Consider the following 22,366-nt stretch of genomic DNA (forward strand, 5'->3'; position numbering starts at 1 on the left):
ATGGAGAAGAATATGAAATATCAACTTTATCAAAGAGATGACAAATATAAGACAAAAGAAACAATGTGCATATAATTAACATTCTTGAATTGTTAACAGAAAAAAGGTCATAGATATAATACAAGAAAACTTCTGAAATAAACTGACTTATCTCTGTCAATTACAAGGGTTTTACTTTACTTAGTTTAAAAGAAAGTGATACAGCAATACCAGCATCCAGAAACATTCAAGTAAATTAACCGAATTAAAAGAATCACATGAACATCTAGGCAAAACAGGCTGACTTCAAATTTCTCATAACTCTGTGCTAAAAGACAGGAGAAATATCTCTATATAGTTTTAAAGGAAATTATGCAACTCAAGACCTTTATAATCAGGCAAGAGTTATTTTCAAGCTTGCAAGAATTCTTCAAGTTTGAGTGTGCCATGAGCCATGTGAGAAGAGAACAAGAAAGGAGGAAAACAGAGCCAGGGATTAAACAAACTATACAATGAACTCCAGACAACCGAAAAACAAATCGAAAAAAAAATCCTCAAGAATGTATCCACTGGAACTACTGATAAAAAGACTGATACTGTGTGATCCTGGAATCTATTTAAACAGAGCACTAAGAATAAGTAACTGTGGAAACAAGTTATCTAAGAGATGACCCATGTTATGTTCCTTGACAATGTAAAAAGTTATAGGGTGAGTAACAAAATAGGGAAATGGGTGGGAGGAAAAGGAAGCACTAATATGCAAATTTAGTAACCTTTCAACCCCTGAGTGAGCAGATGCCAACCCTAAATACACAGTAGTTTGCAAACAGCAAATGCAACATTAATAAACAGCAACAAGCAAACAGGTATTTCATAGGTTTCCCCTAATTTTACAGGGATTGAATGGAGGCTATAGTTGCTCCCCAAATCCATCTCTTGTTCCTGGGCACTCAGCTAACCCACAGGACTATAAATTGAGTGGCCGGGGGACATTACTTCCTGCACATCAGTTGGCTCTGCTATAGGAGCCATGCCTGGGAGGGGCTGCCACGTCAATGGTAACTCCAGGCTGGTCTACCCAAACCAAGAAAGGGAACTTTTAGAAACTTTTATGCTCTAAGAAATAAGACATGTAACTTAAATTCAGCAAGTCTTTAATCACTAAATAAAAATATAATTTAACTGAGTACTTTTTTAGTTAAAATAGCATGTATTGTAGACTAAAAATGTAATAATCTCCAACAAGTATTCTATGTATGTTCCTATGTGTTTAATAGTCTTGGATATCCACAGACCATTTCTAGAAAGATGCACAAGGAGCAATTAGTAGTAATGCCTCCTGGGAAAGGCATGGGGATTGAGGGAAGAAAATGACTCCCATTTTACTGTTTTGCTGAACTTATTCTTTTAACCTGTGCAAATATTAGATTTTTTTTCATGAAAAATAAATAAGCAAAGGAAAGAGTAAAAACTAGTATGACTCGATTTTTACAGAACAATGTACTCCCACTGCCTTGCTGTATGCACAGAGAGGAACAAAATGCTGAGAGTGTGGGGTTTGAGAAGCTCTGTATTAGTTTTATCTTTGTAGATGTCACTGTTTTTCATGGAACATGTTTCACAAAGTTTCCCCCAAACAGATGGTTACACTCAAAACACCACAAGCAAAGTGAAGCTCACTCAGGACCGGCTTCTTCTCAACCCCTCCTCGCCACACGTTAATTAAACTCATCTACAATCTATGTAAAAATTAAAGTGATGACGCACAGCGGACAAAGGTTTGAACAATTCTTTGGTATGCTCCCTAAAAAGGAAAGAACACAAGGAAATTCTGACGTCTGCCCAACGGGTCCAGATTGTCATTTCTGGCTCTGAGCTCTTTCGCAGCCGGGAGCATCACAGAAGTTGGTGGAGAAGGGGCTTGTTGGACAGAGCGCTGTCACTGGGCCAGCCCCTGCCCACTGAGCCCCTCTCTTTTTCCAGGTGACCTTTCTCTAATAGTTGACGGCCGGCAAACGCCAACCATCCCTCTGTTGTCCTCACAAAAATAATCCTACAAGAACAATCCTGAAAGGTACCTAGTCTTACCCTCATTCCACAACATGGAAATAGAGGCTTAAAGAAGTGAGACACTTCCTTGAGACGCCTCAGCTCCCAGGCTGATTTTAGACCCAGCTCCTGGCCCAAACTTGCCCCAGCCCTGAAGAAAAAATGAATGCACCTGGACAGTCTGTGCTCTGTCCTGAAGGAAGAGGGGCTAGGAAAATAGCCAACGAGAGCCCACGGTAGCACCTAGGGCCTGCTGTCACCTGTAAGGCAGATGTCACATACAGGGACACTGGAGCTGGTAGCTGAACTGCCTTAGCCAGGAGCCGGGCCTCCCAGCAGGAGGCAGCACAAATGGAAAGCAAACCCAGTGTGGGGGCAGGGGCTGGGAGTATCTCACTCTCACCCAGGCCTGGCCTGGGCACTCGTAGTCCCCTCTGCTGGCACTTGGGTTCTCACGCCCTCCCCCTTACACACTCGGGAAAGGAAATCACATAGGGATGGCAAGCTGTCCTGGGAGAAGCCTGGGACCCAGGAGGAGTGTACAGATAGAGTAAATGCAAGCCACAGGGCAGTCAGCGCAGCCTGAGCCGGGCCCCTCGATGTTAGGAAAATTGTGACATAAACAGCACATGCTCCAGGGCGGGGATGACATGTGACTCCAGACTGCCCCCCACGTCCTTCAACACTTGGCTTTCCCTTGCTCTGCTATCCTGGGCATCTCCTGGACCATGAAGGGTATTACCACTTGATTGCTCACTTTTTCTTAGTAATGTCTACTTTGGACTTTCAATTCTGAAAAAGGGCTTTTCTGCTGAGACTGCAGCACTGAACCACAAGCCCTCTCTATTATAATGTGTGCAGTAGTTCAGTTCCTTCTTGGGCAACTTTTCCAAGAGAAAGAACATTGAAAGGGAAAAAGAAAATCAACAAGGGAAGGTTAATTACTTAAAACCAGTAGTACTTTACGAAGAACGCATGGTTTCCCACTCAACACCTTGGGGACAAAAGTATGTATATCACTGTGTCGTGGCACTGTTGTCTTCCCGGAAAGGGCAGAACTTATTCTCCTGCCAAGATAAAATAACAAGGGGGCAGGTGATAAGGAGTATTGTTCAGGGGCAGAAAGGTGAGGTCAAAAGGCCCGAGCAGCCCGCTGAGGACCTCTTGGAGCAGGGAGAGAGCCTATAAGACAGGTGTGGCAGGTAGCCAGAGGGCAAGGGTGGCAAGGAGACTGAGGCGGACCACAGCCACTGACCAGAGTAGTCATAGTCAAGATGTTCTGGGAGGCCTGAATGCCTGAGCCCTGAGGTCCAATGCCTCTTGCTGTGCAGTGTGGCTAGCATGGAAGGCTTCGTTCAAAGATCCCTCTACAAAGGGGAAATTCCAGACAGAGAAAATTGGGGCCAGAGGAAGAGGCAGCAGCTCAGCCATGTACATCTGCCAAATGCCCAAGTGCAGGGGGATGGGACCCACCTTGCAGAACAGGGCAGCAGGAATAGTTAAGGGCACAAAGACTCGTCCAAGGAAAACACTATTAAGGAGGGAAAGCAGGTGTTTGCTCTCACGGATGTACAATGCTATACAGATGCTGCTGCCACAGAAGACAGCAAGCCTAGAGACACAGGAGAATGAGGCAAACATAACAAGAACAACGGCCAGGTTCCCCGTCTTGCCTCACATCCCCATCCCACTGCACACCACCAACCCGGCCAGCCCCACCATTCACTGGGCTAGCCGCTGTGTTAGCCTCGGCAGAGTCAGCCTCACAGTCTTCATTTCAGCCTCTCACAGACGTCACTAAAATGTCAGGGAGGCAGTGGTGGAGCCCACCAGACCAACTATCACCAGGTGAGGGGCAGTCACATGGGGCCTGAAGACAGGGCATCCCAAGTGTGCCAGTCACTCTCACCACCGTGGAAAACCACAAACTGCCATCCTCAGTCTCCTCAACTGTAGAATGGGAACAACTTCCCTCCTGACAACAGAGTTATTGGGAAGATCAAATTAGATAATCTACACAAAAGTATTTTGCAAACTGCAAAGCACTATAAAACTGCAAAGACATGATGATATGCTGTATGCAAGTTAACAAACCTGGCAAACAGTTTGATTTCCTTCTGCATGGCTGTACATCTTACTATTGTTTGTTTTACTAACAAAATTGTATTTTTTTGTTGTTATTTTATTTTTTAACTTGACAAAACTGTATGTTTTTGTTGTTTATATTTTGGTGTACAACACATCATGTTGTACATGGAAGGGCTAAATAGAGCTAATCAATGTATGCCTTACCTCACATGCTTATTACTTTTTATGGTAAAAACACTTCAACTCTACTTTTAGCAATTGTCAAGTCTATAATACATTGTTATTAATTTAGCCACCACATTATACAACAGATCTCATGAACATAAACATTTGTAAGCCAGCTATATATTCAGTTAAGTGATATAAAATTATCATTTGATCAAATAGTAAAGGTTCTACCAGTTCACCTTGCAGATGTCTTTCAATTTTCTGCTTTAAGGAGACCAACTTTCTTTCCCCCTTGTGGGATAATATATAAGAAGAGAAGAGGAACTCATGGTCCTCCCTGTTTCTCCTGGACCTGTCTCCCTGCATTTATAAAGTTACAAGAACTTCCTTGAAGCTAGTGGTTCTCAAACCCAGAATCAATAGGGGCTTTTATAAAAGTCCCAATGGGTTCCAAGGTTGCGGCTTGGTTGCTGATATCAGAACCTCTAGAGGAAGTGCCCAGACATTAAGATTTTTAAAGTACCCCTATCGTTTCAATAGGAAGTGGAGGACCTCTGGCCCGGGCCCTTCAGAGAGCCAGGACAGCCGCAACTCTGAGCACGTACCCAGCAGTGACACAGGCCTGGCAGTGGTATCTTCCTTTCTGGGGAGATATTAAGAGATTTTGAGGTTTAGGATTTGCCACCATTTTTTAACATAGGAAGGTATTGTAATCAATTATCTTAATCGATCACATGTCTTTTCTTCCATTATGAATTTTCTTTTTTCCTTAAGGATTGTTTCAAATATGACATATCCATGTGACCTTCCATTTTCTCTTTTCTATCACTAACATTTTCAAGGTAGTACAACTAATTTATTTCATTCTTAAAAATCTATGGAATGGAAAATCTGAAACTATAATTCTTCTTTGAACTCACACTCTGCTGTATGACAAGCAAGTCCCATTACAACTAATCAGTAAATTATCTGGTTTTTGTTTATTTGCAACCCAAGTAAACACAATTTTGCATGCCACTGAACTGCAAGCTTAAGTATGAAATGTTTCAAATTTTATATAAGCAACTTTCTCAACTGCGATGCTTTTGAACTCATGGGAGCTAAGCAATTCGAGAAAAAATGATTAAATTTCTAATTTTAATTCCCATAGAGCTATTAAATGCATTTAACAAACATGAATGGAGAGACTGTTCTGAACAAGGTGCCTCAGAGATGTAATAAAAAATAATGCATGAGCTTCTCCTCAAGGGCTTAAGAGTCAAAGGGAGGAACGATGTCCACACAACTCATTTCTAATTATAAATACTTGTTCAAATGCTCAGTATTCTCCTCGACCCCAGAAGTGGAGATATATATATATATATATATATGTATGTATGTGTGTATATATAGATGTATGTGTGTATATATATATATATATATATATGTATGTATATATATATATTTTTTGGGACGGAGTTTCGCTCTGTTGCCCAGGCTGGAGTGCAGTGGTGCAATCTCGGCTCATTGCAAGCTACGCCTCCTGGGTTCACGCCATTCTCTTGCCTCAGCCTTCCAAGTAGCTGGGACTACAGGCGCCCGCCACCATGCCCAGCTAATTTTTTTTTTTTTTTTTTTTGTATTTTTAGTAGAGACGGGGTTTCACCATGTTAGGCAGGATGGTCTCGATCTCCTGACCTCGTGATCTGCCTGCCTCAGCCTCCCAAAGTGCTGGGATTACAGGCATGAGCCACCACACCCAGCCAGAGATAAATATTTTTAAAAGACACCTAATTTTTCCTACCTGTTCTCTCACAGCATTGAGCAGGGCTTCCCTTCCCCTTGATCACTCAGCACTTTGGGAGAACTAGGGAACTAATTTTGTACAGAATCATGGAGTTGAAAGGGGTATCAGAGTAGGCAGCTGCGGTTCTTCATTTCACATGTTCAGTTAAGACCTAGAGAATATCCCCAGAGTGGGGACCCAAGCCAGAATGAGGCCTCCTCTAGGCTGGGGGCACTTTCTTTCCCCAGCCTGGACCAGGTTCTCTAGTCACTAGTCAACGGGCATGGAAAGAGTCTAATGTGAATGCAACCACACACCGATCTTCTAATAAACCATACATGCTAAGCAGTGGGCTGGCTCACCTGTATCCACTCCTTTTCTAGGCCCCTGAAGCACCTTTTCTGATGATGCATTTCTGAACATACTGCTTGCCAGATTGTAAATGGGATAAGTCAGCTTTGGTAGAAGAAACCTTGTCTACCTCTTCCAGAACAGGCAGAGGACCCTGGAGGGATGTCCCAACTGGTTGCATGCCGTGTCTGAGAACCCAGAGTCAGTGGGCACTTAAAACCACGTGGACCCAAGAGCTGAGTTCACATTCAATACCTCAACAAGGTAGAGACAGAATAATCAAGAGATTTGGGGATGAACTGCAACCCATCCTGGCAATTCTAGGACATATTTCCAAGGGATTAAGTACAGCCTTTCAATGTGCCTACCCAATAGCTGCAGACCCACAATGCCAAGTTAAACAGACAACCAGAGAGTTTTCACTCAATCTAATAATCTAATGCTGTACTTGCAAAGGACCCACATCCTTCCTTGGGGGGACCATGTCATCCCACAGATGGCACAGACACCCCTGTGTCCTTCACCATGGCAGTCAACACCAATGGCAAGAGATGGCCAGTGGTCTCAGAGCCAAGGACATGCTCTGGGAGCAGCTCTAGGCTCTGCAAGGGAATATACTTAGGGTGGGGGTGACAGTGCAGACCCTAGCCTGGTGTCATGCCTCCCCCAGGGGAAAATGCCAAGACCACCCTCTCTGGTAGTACCTCAGGTCACAGTCACTGCCCACTCTCCTCCCTGAAATCTACTCCCAGGACTCTACCTTTGGAATGCTATTCTTTTCCTCTCTCCCACCCCCTAGTTTTTCATGTAAAGGACTAATCTTTCATCATCCCCAAGGATAAGGAAGTACGTTCTGTAATGATCCTGCCCAATGAGCCCTTGTATGCCTGTTATTCTTATGCACAGCAGCACCTGAGATACAGGAGACATAACCGGCTTCCTGGGGAGTTCACTATCTACTCTGAGTGAGAGGAACTTCACTTAGCATGGCTTAACAGAGCTTGCTTGTATTAGTTCATTTTCACACCACTGATAAAGACATACCCGAAACTGGGAACAAAAGGAGGTTTAATTGGACTTACAGTTCCACATGGCTGGTGAGGCCTCAGAATCATGGCGGGAGGTGAAAGGCACTTCTTACATGGCAGTGGCAAGAGAAAAATAAGGAAGAAGCAAAAGCGGAAACCCCTGATAAACCCATCAGATCTTGTGAGACTTACTTATTATCACGAGAATAGAACAGGAAAGACCATCCCCTGTGATTCAATAACCTCCCCCTGAGTCCCTCCCATAACATGTGGAAATTCTGGGAGACACAATTCAAGTTGAGATTTGGGTGAGGACACAGCCAAACCATATCATTACGCCCCTGGCCCCTCCAAATTTCATGTCTTCACATTTCAAAACCAATTGTGCCTTCCCAACAGTCCCTGAAAGTCTTAACTCATTTCAGAATTAACTTAAAAGTCCACAGTCCAAAGTCTCATCTGAGACAAGGCAATTCCCTTCTGCCTATGAGCCTGTAAAATCAAAAGCGAGCTACTTACTTTCTAGATACAATGGGGGTACAGGTATTTGGTAATACAGCCATTCCAAATGGGAGAAATTGGCCAAAATAAAGGGGTTACAAGGCCCAGGCAAGTCCAAAATCCAGCAGGGCAGTCAAATCTTAAAGCTCCAAAATGATCTCCTTTGACTCCATGTCTCACATCCAGGTCACGCTGATGCTAGAGATGGATGCCCGTGGTCTTGTGCAGCTTCACCCCTGTGGCTGTGCAGGGTACAGCCTCCCTCCTGGCTGCTTTCAGGGGCTGGTGTTGAGTGTCTATGGCTTTTCCAGGTGCACGGTGCAAAGTGTTGGTGGATCTCCATTCTGTGGTCTGGAAGATGGTGGCCCTCTTCTCATAGCTCCACTAGGCAGTGCCCCAGGAGGGACTTGTGTGGGGGCTCTGACCCCACATTTCTCTTCTGCACTGCCATAACAGAAGTTCTCCATGAGGGCCCCACCCCTGCAGCAAACTTTTACCTGGGCATCCAGGCATTTCCATACATCTTCTGAAATCTAGGTGGAGGTTCCCAAACCTTAATTCTTGACTTCTGTGTACCCACAGGCTCAACAGCACCTGGAAGCTGCTAAGGTTTGAGGCTTCCACCCTCTGAAGTCACAGCCTGAGCTCTATGTAGGCCCCTTTTGGCCACGGGTGGAATGGCTGAGACACAGGGCACCAAGTCCCTAGGCTGCACACAGCTCGGGGACCCTGGGCCCAGTCCATGAAACCACTTTTTCCTCCTGGGCCTCCAGACCTGTTCTCCAGAGGGGCTGCCATGAAGGTCTCTGATGTGGCCTGGAGACATTTTCCCCATGGTCTTAGTGTTTAACGTTAGGATCCTTGCTACTTATGCACATTTCTGAAGCTGGCTTGAATTTCTCCTCAAAAAATGGGGTTTTCTTTTCTACTGCATTGTCAGGCTGCAAATTTTCTGAACTTTTATGCTCTCTTTCCCTTTTAAAATGGAATGCTTTTAACAGCACCTAAGTCATCTTTTGAATGTTTTGCTGCTTAGAAGTTTCTTCTGCCAGATACCCTAAATCATCTCTCTTAAGTTCAAAGTTCCACAAATCTCTAGGGCAGAGGCAAAATGCCACCAGTCTCTTCGCTAAAACATAACAAGAGTCACCTTTGCTCCAGTTCCCAACAAGTTCCTCATCTCCATCTGAGACCACCTTGGCCTGGACCTTATTGTCCATATTGCTGTCAGCATTTTTGTCAAAGCCACTCAACAAGTCTCTAGGAGATTCCAAACTTTCCCACATTTTCCTGTCTTATTCTGAGCCCTCCAAACCGTTCCAACCTCTGCCTGTTACCCAGTTCCAAAGTCACTTCCACATTTTCGAGTATCTTTTCAGCAATGCCCCACTCTACTGGTACCAATTTACTGTATTAGTTTGTTTTCACCCTGCTGATAAAGACATATGCGAAACTGGGAACAAAAAGAGGTTTAATTGGACTTACAGTTCCACACGGCTGGGGAGACCTCAGAATTACGGCAGGGAGCGAAAGGCACTTTTTACGTGGTGGTGGCAAGAGAAAAATGAAGAGGGAGCAAAAGCAGAAACCCCTGATAAATGCATCAGATCTTGTGAGACTTATTCACTATCACGAGTATAGCATGAGAAAGACCAGCCCCATGATTCAGTTACCTCCCTCTGGGTCCCTCCCACAACACATGGAAGTTCTGGGAGATACAATTCAAGTTGAGATTTGGGTGGGGATACAGCCAAACTATATCATGGCTAATGACTTTTAACTCCAAGAATCCCCAAGCCACAGAAGCCCCTCCATTCTTTTTACCCACACCTCCTCTTCCTACACACACACACACACACACACACACACACACACAAGTCAAAGCAAGTTCATCTAAGCAATGCCTTGGTTACAAGTGCAAACTATGACTACATCAACTGTCAAAGGATAGAAACTGGGCTGATGGTAAGTGAGACAAATACTGTCTCCAGTTCCTTTTATTGAACAACTTATCAATCTAGAACTTAAGAACCCATGGCATACACTCACTCATCTGCTCCACCCTAAAGCCTACAGGATGGCCCAAGAGATATTCTGCCCTTGTGGCCCCCCCCTGGGGTTGTGCCCAAGGTCACACAACTGGTCATCAAGTCCAAGTGAGCTGGAAGCATGTCTCATTTATTTTTACTGTTCAGTGATGATTCTTTCAAGAGATGGTATATTATTTAACAGACAGTCAAAACAAATACTCCAATTCATACATTTTAAAAAGAAAAAGTTAACTATGTACCTCTTGGATGTCAAACAATTTTTGTAAAAGGCATGAAAAATTATACATGCAAATGTGTTGCCCACACTACAATAACACACGTTGTCTTGAAACCTCAAATCATCATTAGAGGAATTGTGAGGAAATGGGCTGCAACCATGGTATGGTTTTTAGACCCCCAAGATAAAAGGGTATTGCATGGACTTCAGGGATGATGTAAGGTGATCTGGGGAAGGAGGACGTGCTGAGTCCCAGGACACTGTGCATTGTGTGGTCTCTTCTGCAACGAAGACATGACAGGCTAACAGGCTAACCCTAAGCTTACTGTAAAAACTCGGAGAACTTAATTCATAGAAAGTTCCTAAAATGTGAGCGCAGAAATTATTTGGGTAAATTATTTGAAGATGGGTGTGTTAGCCCTGGGGGCATGAAAACTGGGGTCTTCTCAGAGGTAGCAAGGTTCAACCTGTCTGCACCACAGACAGACGTCTGCTCTCACTCCAGGCAGCCACCTCCTCTTGAGTGAGCTCCTAAACCTTTGTCTCAGTAACTGAGAAACTTAATCTAATCTCACAGAGGGATGGGTGTATGGTCTGTTCACACCAATCCCCAGCACCATGTGAAACTTAACAGTAATCTAATAAAACAAATGAAACGCTGAACAGACAAGGAAATGAATTTCCAAGGTCTAATTTTATATTTCATAAAAGTCAATACTGCATCTTACTCATGTGTATTCATTCAGACATCAAATTTCCATTATATTTATAAGGAAAACGAGATTAAGAATAAAATATGCTCAAATAGAAAATATTTCCTTGGAAGGAGAAACGCAAAATACTTCAATCCTACAAAATGAGTTTACTTTAGACTTATCTACTTAACTAAGAGAGATGTATTTAAAACTTGTATTAGCATTAATGTGTATTTGACTTCTCAGAATGTGAGATGCTGTAGAGCAGTAATTGCTAATAGCAAGGACTGGGGTTTTGTGGAATCATGCAATTTTACCAAACAAGGCTTTAGATGCATGGGAGACTAACTCTTTCCCTTTGCCAAGAGGAACCTAGAGCACGACAGGCCAGACCTTGGCCAGCTGTAGCTGCTGCATGGCCCACTCCCTCCCAGTCCTAGTCTATACTCCCCCACTTCCTGGTCCAGAAATGCTGTGTGCAAACCAGCCAGCTAAACACGCCTCCACAACACAGGCAAGTAATAAGGCAGCGTCCGGCCCTTCTCTCCATTTCAGCTTTTTAAAGACTTATTTTTAACCCACTTCTCCCGTCTGTTACTATGAATGATGAAGAACACCATTCCAAAAGTGTGATGAAGGCGGTTCCCCCCTTGTGGCATCTGTGTTAAGGCCATCTTATTCTTGGTCTCACACACAAACTTTTTGGGAGACATGGCAGTCTACCAATAGGCAAATAAAATTCTTTTTCCAAGGTTCAAGGGTAAAATATTTTCACATTAAATACGTTACAAAAAAGAACCAGCATATCTTATTCCCATTTTGTCCTCAAGGATGAACAGCTTCTAAAGGGATTTGGCATCACCTATTTTACATGTAGTGGCGCTTCCCCTTTAACCATTTACAGTGTTCAATCAAGGTGAAGAGCCTGATTCACTAAAGCTGAAAAACATGTTATTCCCATTTGCCCCCTTGAAATCAGTAGTTCAGTTTTCCACACAATTTAAATGGAATGAGAAGCATAAAGAAATGCCCAGTCATAGCACTGGGCTAGTTCTCTAGTAGGGCATCTGTGAAACTTCTTTCCTTTTAAAGTGTGATGTTCCCTTTCGCATGGGGCCTCCATGAGGAACCTCAGTAGGAGAGAGGAGTCTTTGGTCTTCAGTAACACACCCAGATGCTGCAATGACCATCTAAGCATGGGAAACACCCATCCCAACTCACCAAAATAGCCCTGGAGCACAAGCTGGCCTCTCTGAGTTCAGTCCCTGCGAGGAAAAGTCTCCCAGGGAACATGTGGTTGAATAACCTGGCACACACTTAAAATCAGATAAAGCACATTTTAAGTGAAAAAGCACAGTTGCTTTTTCTTGTTTTCATTTTATAGGGAAAAATAAAAGCACAGTAACGAAACGTTTTTCATCAGAGAAATTTTGAGGCCAAGAGCCCTTCCCATCTCATTTAGGCACGTCATGGAAATAAATGTGGCACCATCAGAAGGTCAGAGGCCATGACTTGCACACAGCTTGCTCAGAGCAAAGTGCCCCTTCCCTCCTCCACCAGGCTTGGGGGCCACAGGAATTACTTCCTAAGTGGACATCCGCCACCTATAATTCAGTGCAAGGGGTCAAATAGGCCCCTCTGGGAAGTACTACCACACAGGGTCCCAGGGCCTAAGTCAATCGGGAGTCAAAGCCAGGAGCAAACATCAAGGGTGTGCAGGAGAGGATTTCCACGGGGTTGCCCTGGCTGGCACATTCACGCCATGACCAGGACACCAGCCTGTAGTTCACTGAAGTCAACTTTCTCCTCTCCAAACTAACACTCACTTCCGCAGTCTGAGAAGGCACTCAATCCTGAGACTCAAAGTGTGCTAAGAGCCACCTTCCAAAGACATGGAGCCACTGAAGCAATCTCTGCTAGGGAGGCCTACATTCCAGACTCCACAACCTCTGGTCATTCAAGTATGTGCCCCCAACCCTTCCTTAAGTTTCCATCTCTTGGAAGACAGGCATGCGGGAGCGGAGGGGGAGGGGCGGGGGGCGGGGGCGGAGCACACCGGCGCACACACATGCACCCACCTCAACTTGGAGATCCACTCCCAAGGTGGCTCTGACACAGGCCCGCCAAGCCGCGTTTAGCACGCCCCCTGCTGGCCCACAAGAGCTAATTCAACCTTTCTTCCGTGGGCCTAAGGCATGAATAAATGACCTTAATATCCCAAAGGGAACAGAAAGAAAATCAGGGCAATTTTTACTTCTTAGAAACGGAAGATGTGACAGTGATCTCTTTTGGGAAATCACTGACAACTCCCAAATTTAAGCACTCTAAACATACAAGCGGGATGAAGAGGCTTTAAAGCGGTTGTTTTAAAATGTTTTGGGGAAATAAGTGACCCATACCTAAAGATTTAGTGGAAACACTTCCGTTTGAAGTTTTACTAGTACTACAGCGAGTTAAACCATAAACGTGGTGAATATTTTCACGAGTCTACAGGTGAAAACAAAAAGATGGATACGGGGCCAGATTGATTTCACAGACTCCATTTTCAAAGAGTTTGCAATGCAGACCCTGAAAAACCAATCTTCATACTATTGAGGACATGTTGTAAAGAAGAATCTCTGCCACAACTCAAGAGTTAAGTTCTACAGCAACTACACACAGCGGGAGCAGTGTCATCCAAAAGCAGCTCACTTGGAGCCAGTTTCTCATCTCACTTAGGCACACCATTGGGAATAAATGCGGCACCATCAGGAGGTCAGAGGCCAAGAATTACACACACTTGCTCAGAGAAAGGTGTCCCCTCTCCTTCTCCACCAAGCTTGGGGGCCTCAGGAGTTACTTTCTAAGGGAAAACCTGCCATCTATGATCCAGGCCCAAGTGAGACCCGCACGTGGCAATACTTCGTAAAGCGGCGATTTCCACCCATTATCAGCCTGAACACTAAAGGCCTAAGTAACCACTGTTTTCCCATTCTTTTCACACCAATACAGGGTTCAAGAGATTGAAGTTCCTAACCAGGTCCCAACTTTTGAGTGGCATATGGTATTAAATTCCTTACAGATCCAATAAAATCACACTAACAATTTAAGGCATGCTTATTTTAACCAATTAGGAGGTGTCATTAATTATTAAATACAAAAATGTCAATACTTTTGTCCCTTATTGGATATCCTTTCGATATGATAGGCTTGAGTAGATACTCAGATTGCCTTGGGAACTTGCTTAGTTTTGTTCCCATAAGAATTGGTACTAATGGCACACTCACAATAAAATAATGGAGTGTTGATCCCATTTAGTGGGGAATGTTTATCCAGAACTGAGTGTGCCGTGCAGATCTACCTCTGTTCTCGTGAACCCTCTTTGGGTCTTGAAGAGGCCTTTGAAGCTGGTGGGACACACGGCTGCTGGGAGGACCCTAGTGAACCTGCCTCCCCGCCTTCGCCCAGGGCAGGCTTCTCCGGGCACACCCTGGAGGAGGAGGAGGAGGATGGTGAAGGACACCTGCAGATTTTCCTGAAGCAATTAAGACCTGTAAAGATTTAGGCCCCGCTGTCAACCTTTTCCTGGACACATTATCTGCCTCATCATATTTTTAAAAATTGTTCCTCTTACAGCCCACTTCCATTTACAAAGGTATCACCTGGCGGTAACCATGTGCATGTCATACATGACTTTCCCCTGGATCCTTGTGCTGTGGATGAAGCGTTTCCCTGATCGGGGTCTCACAAGTTTCCCTTCAGCTACTCTTAAATCTATACATTCTCAAGCCAATAGACAGAAATAAAAGTCATTTGCACTTGTGTGAGGTAGCTGAGTTTACAGAGCAGAGGCAAATCCATTTTATTACAGAGATTCTCAAAGGGCTGCAATAGCTTCACCGGGAGGGAGGAGGGTACACTTGAGCGGTTGTGTCCAATGAAGGAAAGTTTTAGTTAATGATGACATCACTGACATCTCCCAAATTTAAAGGAGCACTTAAAGCACCGCAGATGCAATTTTTTCCCCTCCAGTGAGGAGATACTAGGGAAGGCCTCTGGGTTCACAGCCAAATTGCCTTAATGGTTTGCCTGCTGTCCAGCGAGACCCAGCAGAGCGAGCGGGACGGCGGTGCGCCGGGCCGCGGGGACCCACGCAGTCACAGCTCCGGTGCCCGGCGAGCGGCCTCGCGCGCGGCTCGGGGCCGGGCCCTGCCCGGCCGTCTGCAAGAGCCGCGGGACCCCCGACGCGCGCGCACGGACCGAGGGGTCGGTCGCCCCACGCCTGGCATCACGTTCCAGTGCGGACAGCCAAAGGGCTGAGCGGAGGCAGCAGCCCCGACCCAGCGGTAGCGCCGCGCCCTGCCCGAGAGAGGCGCGCCACGCCGGGCCGGAGCCGGTGGCCCGGGAGCCCGCGGGGTCCGGAGCGGAGCCCGCAATGCAGACGCGCCGGCGAGCCCAGCCGGGGCCCGCGCCCCCCGCGTCCCCGCGCCCCGGCCCCGCGGTCGCCCGGCCTCAACGCCCACCTGCCTCGCCACGGAGCTCGGGAAGGAGACGGCGCCGGCCCCGCGCCCGGAGAGCGCACCTGCCTGGTCCGCGGGCCCGGCCCCGCCGCCCGCCGGCAGCACCGCGGCCAGCGCCGTCTTACCTGCCGCGCCGCGCCGCTCCGCTCCGCCAGCCCGCAGCGCCGCAGTCGCCGCTACCCGACTTCCATTTTCTCTCGCTTTAAAGGAAAACCAGATCAGCTGTTTTGCTCCCGCTCGGGCTCCGCGGCCCCCTCCCCAGCTGCCGCTCGCGGTCCCGGTGGCCTCTCCTCCCCCGCCTCCTCCCGCGCTCCGCTCCGCCCCTCGCGCCCCTCCGCTCCGCCCGCGGCCGCGCACAACGCCCGCCTCCCGGCTCCGCCTGCTGCCTCCGGGCGCGCGCCCTCCTCTGACGTCACCGGTCGCGTTCGCGCCCCGCCCCCGCCCCGCGCGGACGTGCGCGCGCCGCGCCTGTGCCCCGCCCCCGCCCCTCCGGGGCCGGGCACGGAGAGCGCGTGCTCGCGGCCGCGAGCCGAGGAGGGGACGTACAGCGCCCGCGCGCCCGCGAGCCCGCTCCGGCTCTCCCATGCTTGCCCCTCGGGGTGCTCCTTCTGCGCTCTCCGCCTGGACTGCAGGAAAAGGCTGCTTAAACAGCCTGCCTTTTCCTGCTGCCTGACTCGCGCCATCTGCGGCCACCTGTCTCGTTTCTTCCCCCTGGCTGGCGCACCCTTCCTTCCTAAACATCCCAAACTTTCTCCCACCCAGGCTGTCCAGGCTGCAGTTTCTACGCCCTGCGCTGGGGCCTGTGCATCACGCCTAATCCAAAGCTGGTCCTTTTACCTCCCAAAAAGGTTCTCTGACCTTTTCCCATTTTTTGCCTTCCTCTAAAGACTTTTTCACGCCACCCCTTCAGATGGTTCCCCTCCCTGATGGCAAGACCTGCTCGCTGCTCTGGGCCCTTCTCACGTCACCCTGTAGATGTAGTCACGCTTCCTTATCCCAAACAGGACGTTATATTGCAGATGACCCATACCATCCTGGTGTACTTCTAAACAATCATTATTTTACTTTTAGTTTAGGACTTTTTGCTTGACTTTAAACATTGTATATGTTTAATAGTGTTTAATAATTTATTTGACTTTTAAAATTGATATTCAGTAAAATTGGTTATTTGATATATAATCCTGTGATCTTGAACCCTTGTTTGGATTCATGTAACCACTAGCGCAATAAAGAGCTCCCTAGTTCTGCCCTTTTATAACAGCGCCCCCGCCAACCCTAACTTTTGGTAACCACTGATAGGTTCTCCATTGCTACGGTTTTGTCTTTGTGAGTGTGTCGTATACATGGAATTACGCAATATGTAACATTTTGAAACTGACTTTATTCCCTCATCATTATACCTTGGAGATTCATCCATGTTATTGTGTATAGTAATAGTCCTTTTTATTGTTGAGGGGAGTCTCATTATTTGTACCACATTTTGTTTAGTCACCCACTGGAGAATATTTGCGTGGTTTCCAGTTTTTGGCGACTGTGAATAAACATTCTATAAACATTTGCATGCAGCGTTTTGTACGGACAAATTTTTTAAATTAGTTGACTAAATATCTAGGAGTGCAATTGCTAGATCTTATGGTAAATTTGTTTAACTTTATAAGAACCAAACAGTTTTCTAGAGTGGCTATAGCATTTTTATAACTGTCAGCAAATATGAATCCCTTTCCTTCATCCTCACCAGCACTTGATATTGGCTATCTTTATCTATCTATCTGTCCATCCATCCATCCATCCGTCTATCATCTATAATTTTAGACATTCTAGTAGGCATATAGTGCTATATCGTTGTTAATTTTCAATTTTCTACTGAAAAATTATGTGGAGCAACTTTTCATATGCACCTGTATATCTTCTTTGGTGAGATGTTTGTTCACATCTTTTGCCCATTAAAAAAAAAAGGTTGTTTTCTTATGGTTGAGTTTTAAGAGTTCTTTGTGTATTTTGGATAGAAGTACTTTATCTGATACGTGTTTTGCAGGTATTTTCTTCCAGTGGAAGCTTGTCTTTTCATTCTCTTAACAGTCCTGTCCTGAATTTAGGGGAAGTATCCAGTTTCTTACCACTAAATATGATGTTAGCAGTAGGATTTTTTTAGTTCTTCTTTATCAAGATTAGGAAGTTCTCTCTATTCCTAGTTTGCAGAGTTTTTATCATGAATGAATGTTGGATTTTGCCAAATTCGTTTTCTGCATCTATTGATACGGTCATGTGATTTTATTTTCTTTAGCTTGTTGATATGATGGGTTACATTGATTTTCAATTGATTTTCAAGGAACCGGTCTTGCATACTTGGGTCAAATTCTACTTGGGCATGGTATATAATTGTTTTTATACACCATTGTATTCAATATGCTAATATTTTGTTGAAGACTTTTGCATCTATGTTCATGAGAAATATTTGGCTATAGTTTTCTTTTTTGTAATGTCTTTAATTTATTTTGGTATGCCGGTAATGCTGGCCTCATAAAATGAGTTAAGAAGTAATATTTACTTGTATTTTCTGTAAGAAATTGTAAAGAACCTATATCAATTCTTCCATAAATGTTTGGTAAAATTCCCTGGTGAAACCATCTGAATCTGGTGATTTTTTTGAGACTTCATTAATTATTGATTCTTTGTGGATACAGAGCTATTAGGTGATCTGTTTGCTTTTCTGTAAAATGTAGTTGTATCATTCAAGGAATCGGTCCTTTTTATCTAATATTCAAACTTGTGGGTGTAAAGTTGTTCATCATAAACCTTTATTATTCTTTTAACATCTATGAAATTAGTAGAGATGACGCCTCTTTCATTTTTTGATATTGGCAAACTATGCCCAATGTCTTTTTTTCTTGGTTAACCTGGACAGGTTTATTAATTTTAATCATCTTTTCAGCTTTTTCTTTGTTTTGTTGATTTTTTTCTATTGTTTTCTATTTTCAATTTCATTCTCTAATTTTTATTATTCCTCTTTGTTCTGCTTGTTTTAGGCTTAAATTGCTCTTCTTTCTCTATTATCCAAGGTGACAATTTAGGTTGTTGATTTTAGATTTTTCTTCTTTTCAAATGTATACATTTACTGCTATAAATATCCCCGCTTTTACTGCATCCCACAAATTTAGAAAAGTTGTACTTTAATTTTTATTTAGATCAATGTTTTTAGTTATTCTTGAGATTCCTCTTTGACCCAAATGTTTTTTAAAAATGTGTTGTTTAGTTTCCAATAATTTGGGACTTTCCAGCTATCATTCTGTTCTTGATTTCTAGGTTACTTCCATTGTGGTATGAAGACATACTTTGTTTAATTTCTATTTTTCTTTAATTTGATAAGGTGTGTTTTATAGATCAGAATGTGGCCAATGTTGGTGATTATTCCATGCCAGCTTGAGAAGAATGTGTATTGTGCTATTGCTAGATCTACAAATATCAATTAAATAAAGTTGATAATGCTGTTTAGGTCAATTATATCCTCACCGATTTTTTGCCTATCTGATCTTATCAATCATGGATAGAGAAATGTTGAAGTATCCTATGATAGTGGATTGGACCATTTTTTCTTTCAGGTTTATCATTTTTTCCTCACTTATTTTGACATTTTATTCTTAGGCACATGCATATTTAGGGTTATTATGTATTCTTGGAGAATTAGCCCCTTTATGATTATGAGTTTCTTACCTATCCCTCCCCTCACATCCCTGATAATTTTCCTTTTTCTCAAGTCCCTTTTATCTGAAATTAATGCAGCTACTCCAGTTTTCTTTTGATCAGGGTTAACATGGTATATCTTTCTTCATCCCTTTACTTTTAACCAAACAGATACTTTATATTTAATGTCAACAAGATATAGTGGGGTCTTGTTTTGTTATCTACTCTAGCAATCTGTGTCTTTTAATTGGTGTATTTAGACCATTCACATTTAACACAATTGTTGATCTATTTGGATGAATATCAATCATATTTGTAACTGTTTCCTACTGGTTGCCAGTGGCGGCTTTTTCTGCCTTCTCCGATTTTAATTGAGCATTTTGTGTGGTTCTATTTTATCTTCTCTTAAAGAGTATCAATTATACTTTTTAAAGAATTTTTTAGTGGCCATTCTAGAGTTTCTTTTTTCTTTGCTTTGCTTTTTTTTTAAGACAAAGTCTGGCTCTATTGCCTAGGCTGGAGTGCGGTGGTGCCATCTCGGCTCACTGCATCCTCTGCCTCCTGGGTTCAAGCCATCCTCCCAGCTTAGCCCCCTGAGTAGCTTACCATGCCCAGCTAATCTTTGCAATTTTTGTAGAGACAGGATTTCACCATGTTGTCCAGGCTGGTCTCAAGCTCGTTAGCTCAAGCAATCTGCCTGCCTTGGCCTCCCAAAGTGCTGGGATTACAGGTCTGAGCCATCATGTCCAGCCTAGAGTTTCTAATATAGATTTTCTTCTTTTACTAATGTGTGTTCACCTTCAAATCATGGTATTGTTTCACATGTAACGTAGATATCTTATAAGAGTGTGTTCCCAATCCTCCCTCCCATTCCTCGTAGCATTGCTGTTAGTCTTTTCTCTTATCCATATGCTACAATGACCTGTTACTATTTTTGCTTTAAATAAGAAGTTATCCTTTAAATTATTAATGAAAATAAAAATAAAAGATTTCATTTTACCTCCATTTATTGCTTCTCCAACACTTCCTTTCTTAATATAGATCCAAGTTTCTGACCTACATCATCTTCCTTCTGTCTGGAGAAAATCTTTTAACATTTCTTGAAGGACAGGTCTGATGGTGAATTACCTCAGCAAGTAAGTCCCTATTTTTCTTCTTCTTTTTTTTTTTTTTTTTTTTTTTTTTTGAGACAGAGTCTCGCTCTGTCGCCCAGGCTGGAGTGCAGTGGCGCGACCTCGGCTCACTGCAAGCTCCGCCTCCCGGGTTCACGTCATTCTCCTGCCTCAGCCTCCCAAGTAGCTGGGACTACAGGCGCCCGCCACCACGCCCGGCTAATTTTTTGTATTTTTAGTAGAGACGGGGTTTCACCGTGTCAGCCAGGATGGTCTCAATCTCCTGACCTCAAAATGCGCCTGCCTCGGCCTCCCAAAGTGCTGGGATTACAGGCGTGAGCCCCCGTGCCCGGCCTCTCCTTCATTTTTTAAGAATAATTTTTCTAGATATAGATTCTTAGTTGGTTATTTTTTGTCTTTCAAACCTTTAAATATCTCACTCCACTCTTTACTTGCTTGGATGGTTTCTGATGAGAAATTCCCTGTGTTTCTTGTCCTATTTTTCTATAGGCAAGCCACTGCACTCATACCCCCAATTCAGCTTTTTTCAAGATTTTCACTTTTTCTGTCCTTTTTTTTGTTGGTTTTTGCTTCGGTATTCTGCAGTTTGAAAATTATATGCCTAGTTTCATTTTTTGTTTCTTTAATCCTGTTTGTTTTTGTCTGACCTACACAGCTTTACAGCTTGGTGTCTGTCATTCATGTTGGAACGTTCTCAGCTATTATTACTTCAAACATTTATTCTACTATGTTCTCTCTTCTATTTTGGTCAAATAATTACACATATGTTAAAACTGTTGAAGTTATCCACAGATCTTGGATGTCTGTACTTCTTTTTCCATTTATTATTATTTTCCCATTTCAGTTTGGGAAGTTTCTGTGGACCTATATTCAAGCTCACTGATTCTTTTCCTCAGCCATGTCAAGTTGTGTGACAAGCCCATCAAAGGCATCCTTCATTGTCTGTCACAGTGCTTTTGATTTTTAGCATTTTTTTTCTTAGAATTTACATCTTTCTGCTTACATTACCCATGTATTCTTGCAGGTTGTCTACTTTTTAAAAAAATTTATTTATTTTTATTTATTCATTTATTTTTTATTTTTTATTTTTTTGAGATGGAGTCTTGCTCTGTCATGCAGGCAGGAGTGCGATGGCATGATCTCGGCTCACTGCAACCTCTGCCTCCTGGGTTCAAGCCATTCTCCTGTCAGCCTCCTGAGTAGCTAGGATTACAGGTGCACACCACTAAGCCCAGTTAATTTTTGTATTTTTAGTAGAGATGGGATTTTGCCATGTTGGCCAGGCTGGTTTCAAACTCCTGACCTCAGGTGATCTACCCACCTCAGCCTCCTAAAGTGCTGAGATTATAAGCATGAGCCATCGTGCTCAGCTGCAGGTTGTCTACTTTTTTCCATTACAGCCTGTATCAGCCAGTGTTCACCAAAGAGGTATATATAATACACACATACATAAATACACATACACACACACATATATATATAATACACACATATATTAATATTTAAACATAGGTATGTATGTTTAAGGTCTGGTGTGGCTGTAAGGATCAGAGGCTTCACATTGCTCTAGTGTCCTTGTTTCTGTCTCCTCTCTTGAATTTGGGCCTCCCTGTGTACTCCTCCTTAGAGACAGTCTGTGTTGTATAGTTCTTTATTTGTAAGCCATTGTGATTACAGTGGGGCCCTGTTGGTGTGGTGGTAAGGTATGGGTAAGGGGAAGTGTTGTATAATCTTCCAGTGAAATCTCAATCTGTTAGTGAGCCTGTGTCCCTGTCTCAGCCTGTTAGTGGGCCTGTGACTCTCATAAGTGTTTCTTCTGGCCCAGCATTCCTCCTTCCCGCTGCCCCCTTAGGTGAGACAGAGACATCCAGGCTGTGGGGCTGGGTTGAGAGGAATTTCCTTTTCCACAGCTCTGGGAAAAGATGCTGATAAAGGTTTTTTCCCATTAAGAGTAACCCTGTCACATGGAGAATGCTCTGGATACACTTCACAAGGATTGCTTTTTTCCTCTTTCTTCCAGAGCCAGGAGGGACTCTTCTTTGGCTTGCCACTGTGAAACCTGGTGATGTTGATGGAGGTCATGTTCCTGAAGGTATGAGGGCCCTCCCGAGACTGAGCCACCAGGCGTTTCTCACTCTCAAGCTAGTCCATGCCCAGACTC

At 44.1% G+C, this 22,366-nt stretch overlaps 1 protein-coding gene across 3 annotated transcripts in view, besides 2 other annotated features; it reads right to left on the reverse strand.

The window, feature by feature from the left end:
• The window catches only part of OTUD7A (OTU deubiquitinase 7A), a 395,276-nt gene extending 379,593 nt beyond the window's left edge, over positions 1 to 15,683 (reverse strand). For all 3 annotated transcript variants that reach the window (NM_001382637.1, NM_130901.3, NM_001329907.2), the window contains exon 1: positions 15,517 to 15,683. The gene's annotated coding sequence lies outside the window, so the exon portion shown is untranslated. The remainder of the gene's footprint in view (positions 1 to 15,516) is intronic.
• Positions 12,856 to 13,150: a silencer, noted in NCBI's record as "tiled region #11410; HepG2 Repressive DNase matched - State 12:CtcfO". NCBI's record gives its function as "represses a minimal TATA promoter and a strong SV40 promoter by Sharpr-MPRA in HepG2 cells {active_cell/tissue: HepG2}" and the evidence as "EXISTENCE:reporter gene assay evidence [ECO:0000049][PMID:27701403]".
• Positions 15,646 to 15,715: a silencer, noted in NCBI's record as "silent region_6268". NCBI's record gives its function as "represses an Ori minimal core promoter by ATAC-STARR-seq in GM12878 lymphoblastoid cells {active_cell/tissue: GM12878}" and the evidence as "EXISTENCE:reporter gene assay evidence [ECO:0000049][PMID:35858748]".

Source organism: Homo sapiens, chromosome 15 (assembly GCF_000001405.40).
Source record: "Homo sapiens chromosome 15, GRCh38.p14 Primary Assembly".
Lineage (NCBI taxonomy): Eukaryota > Metazoa > Chordata > Mammalia > Primates > Hominidae > Homo > Homo sapiens.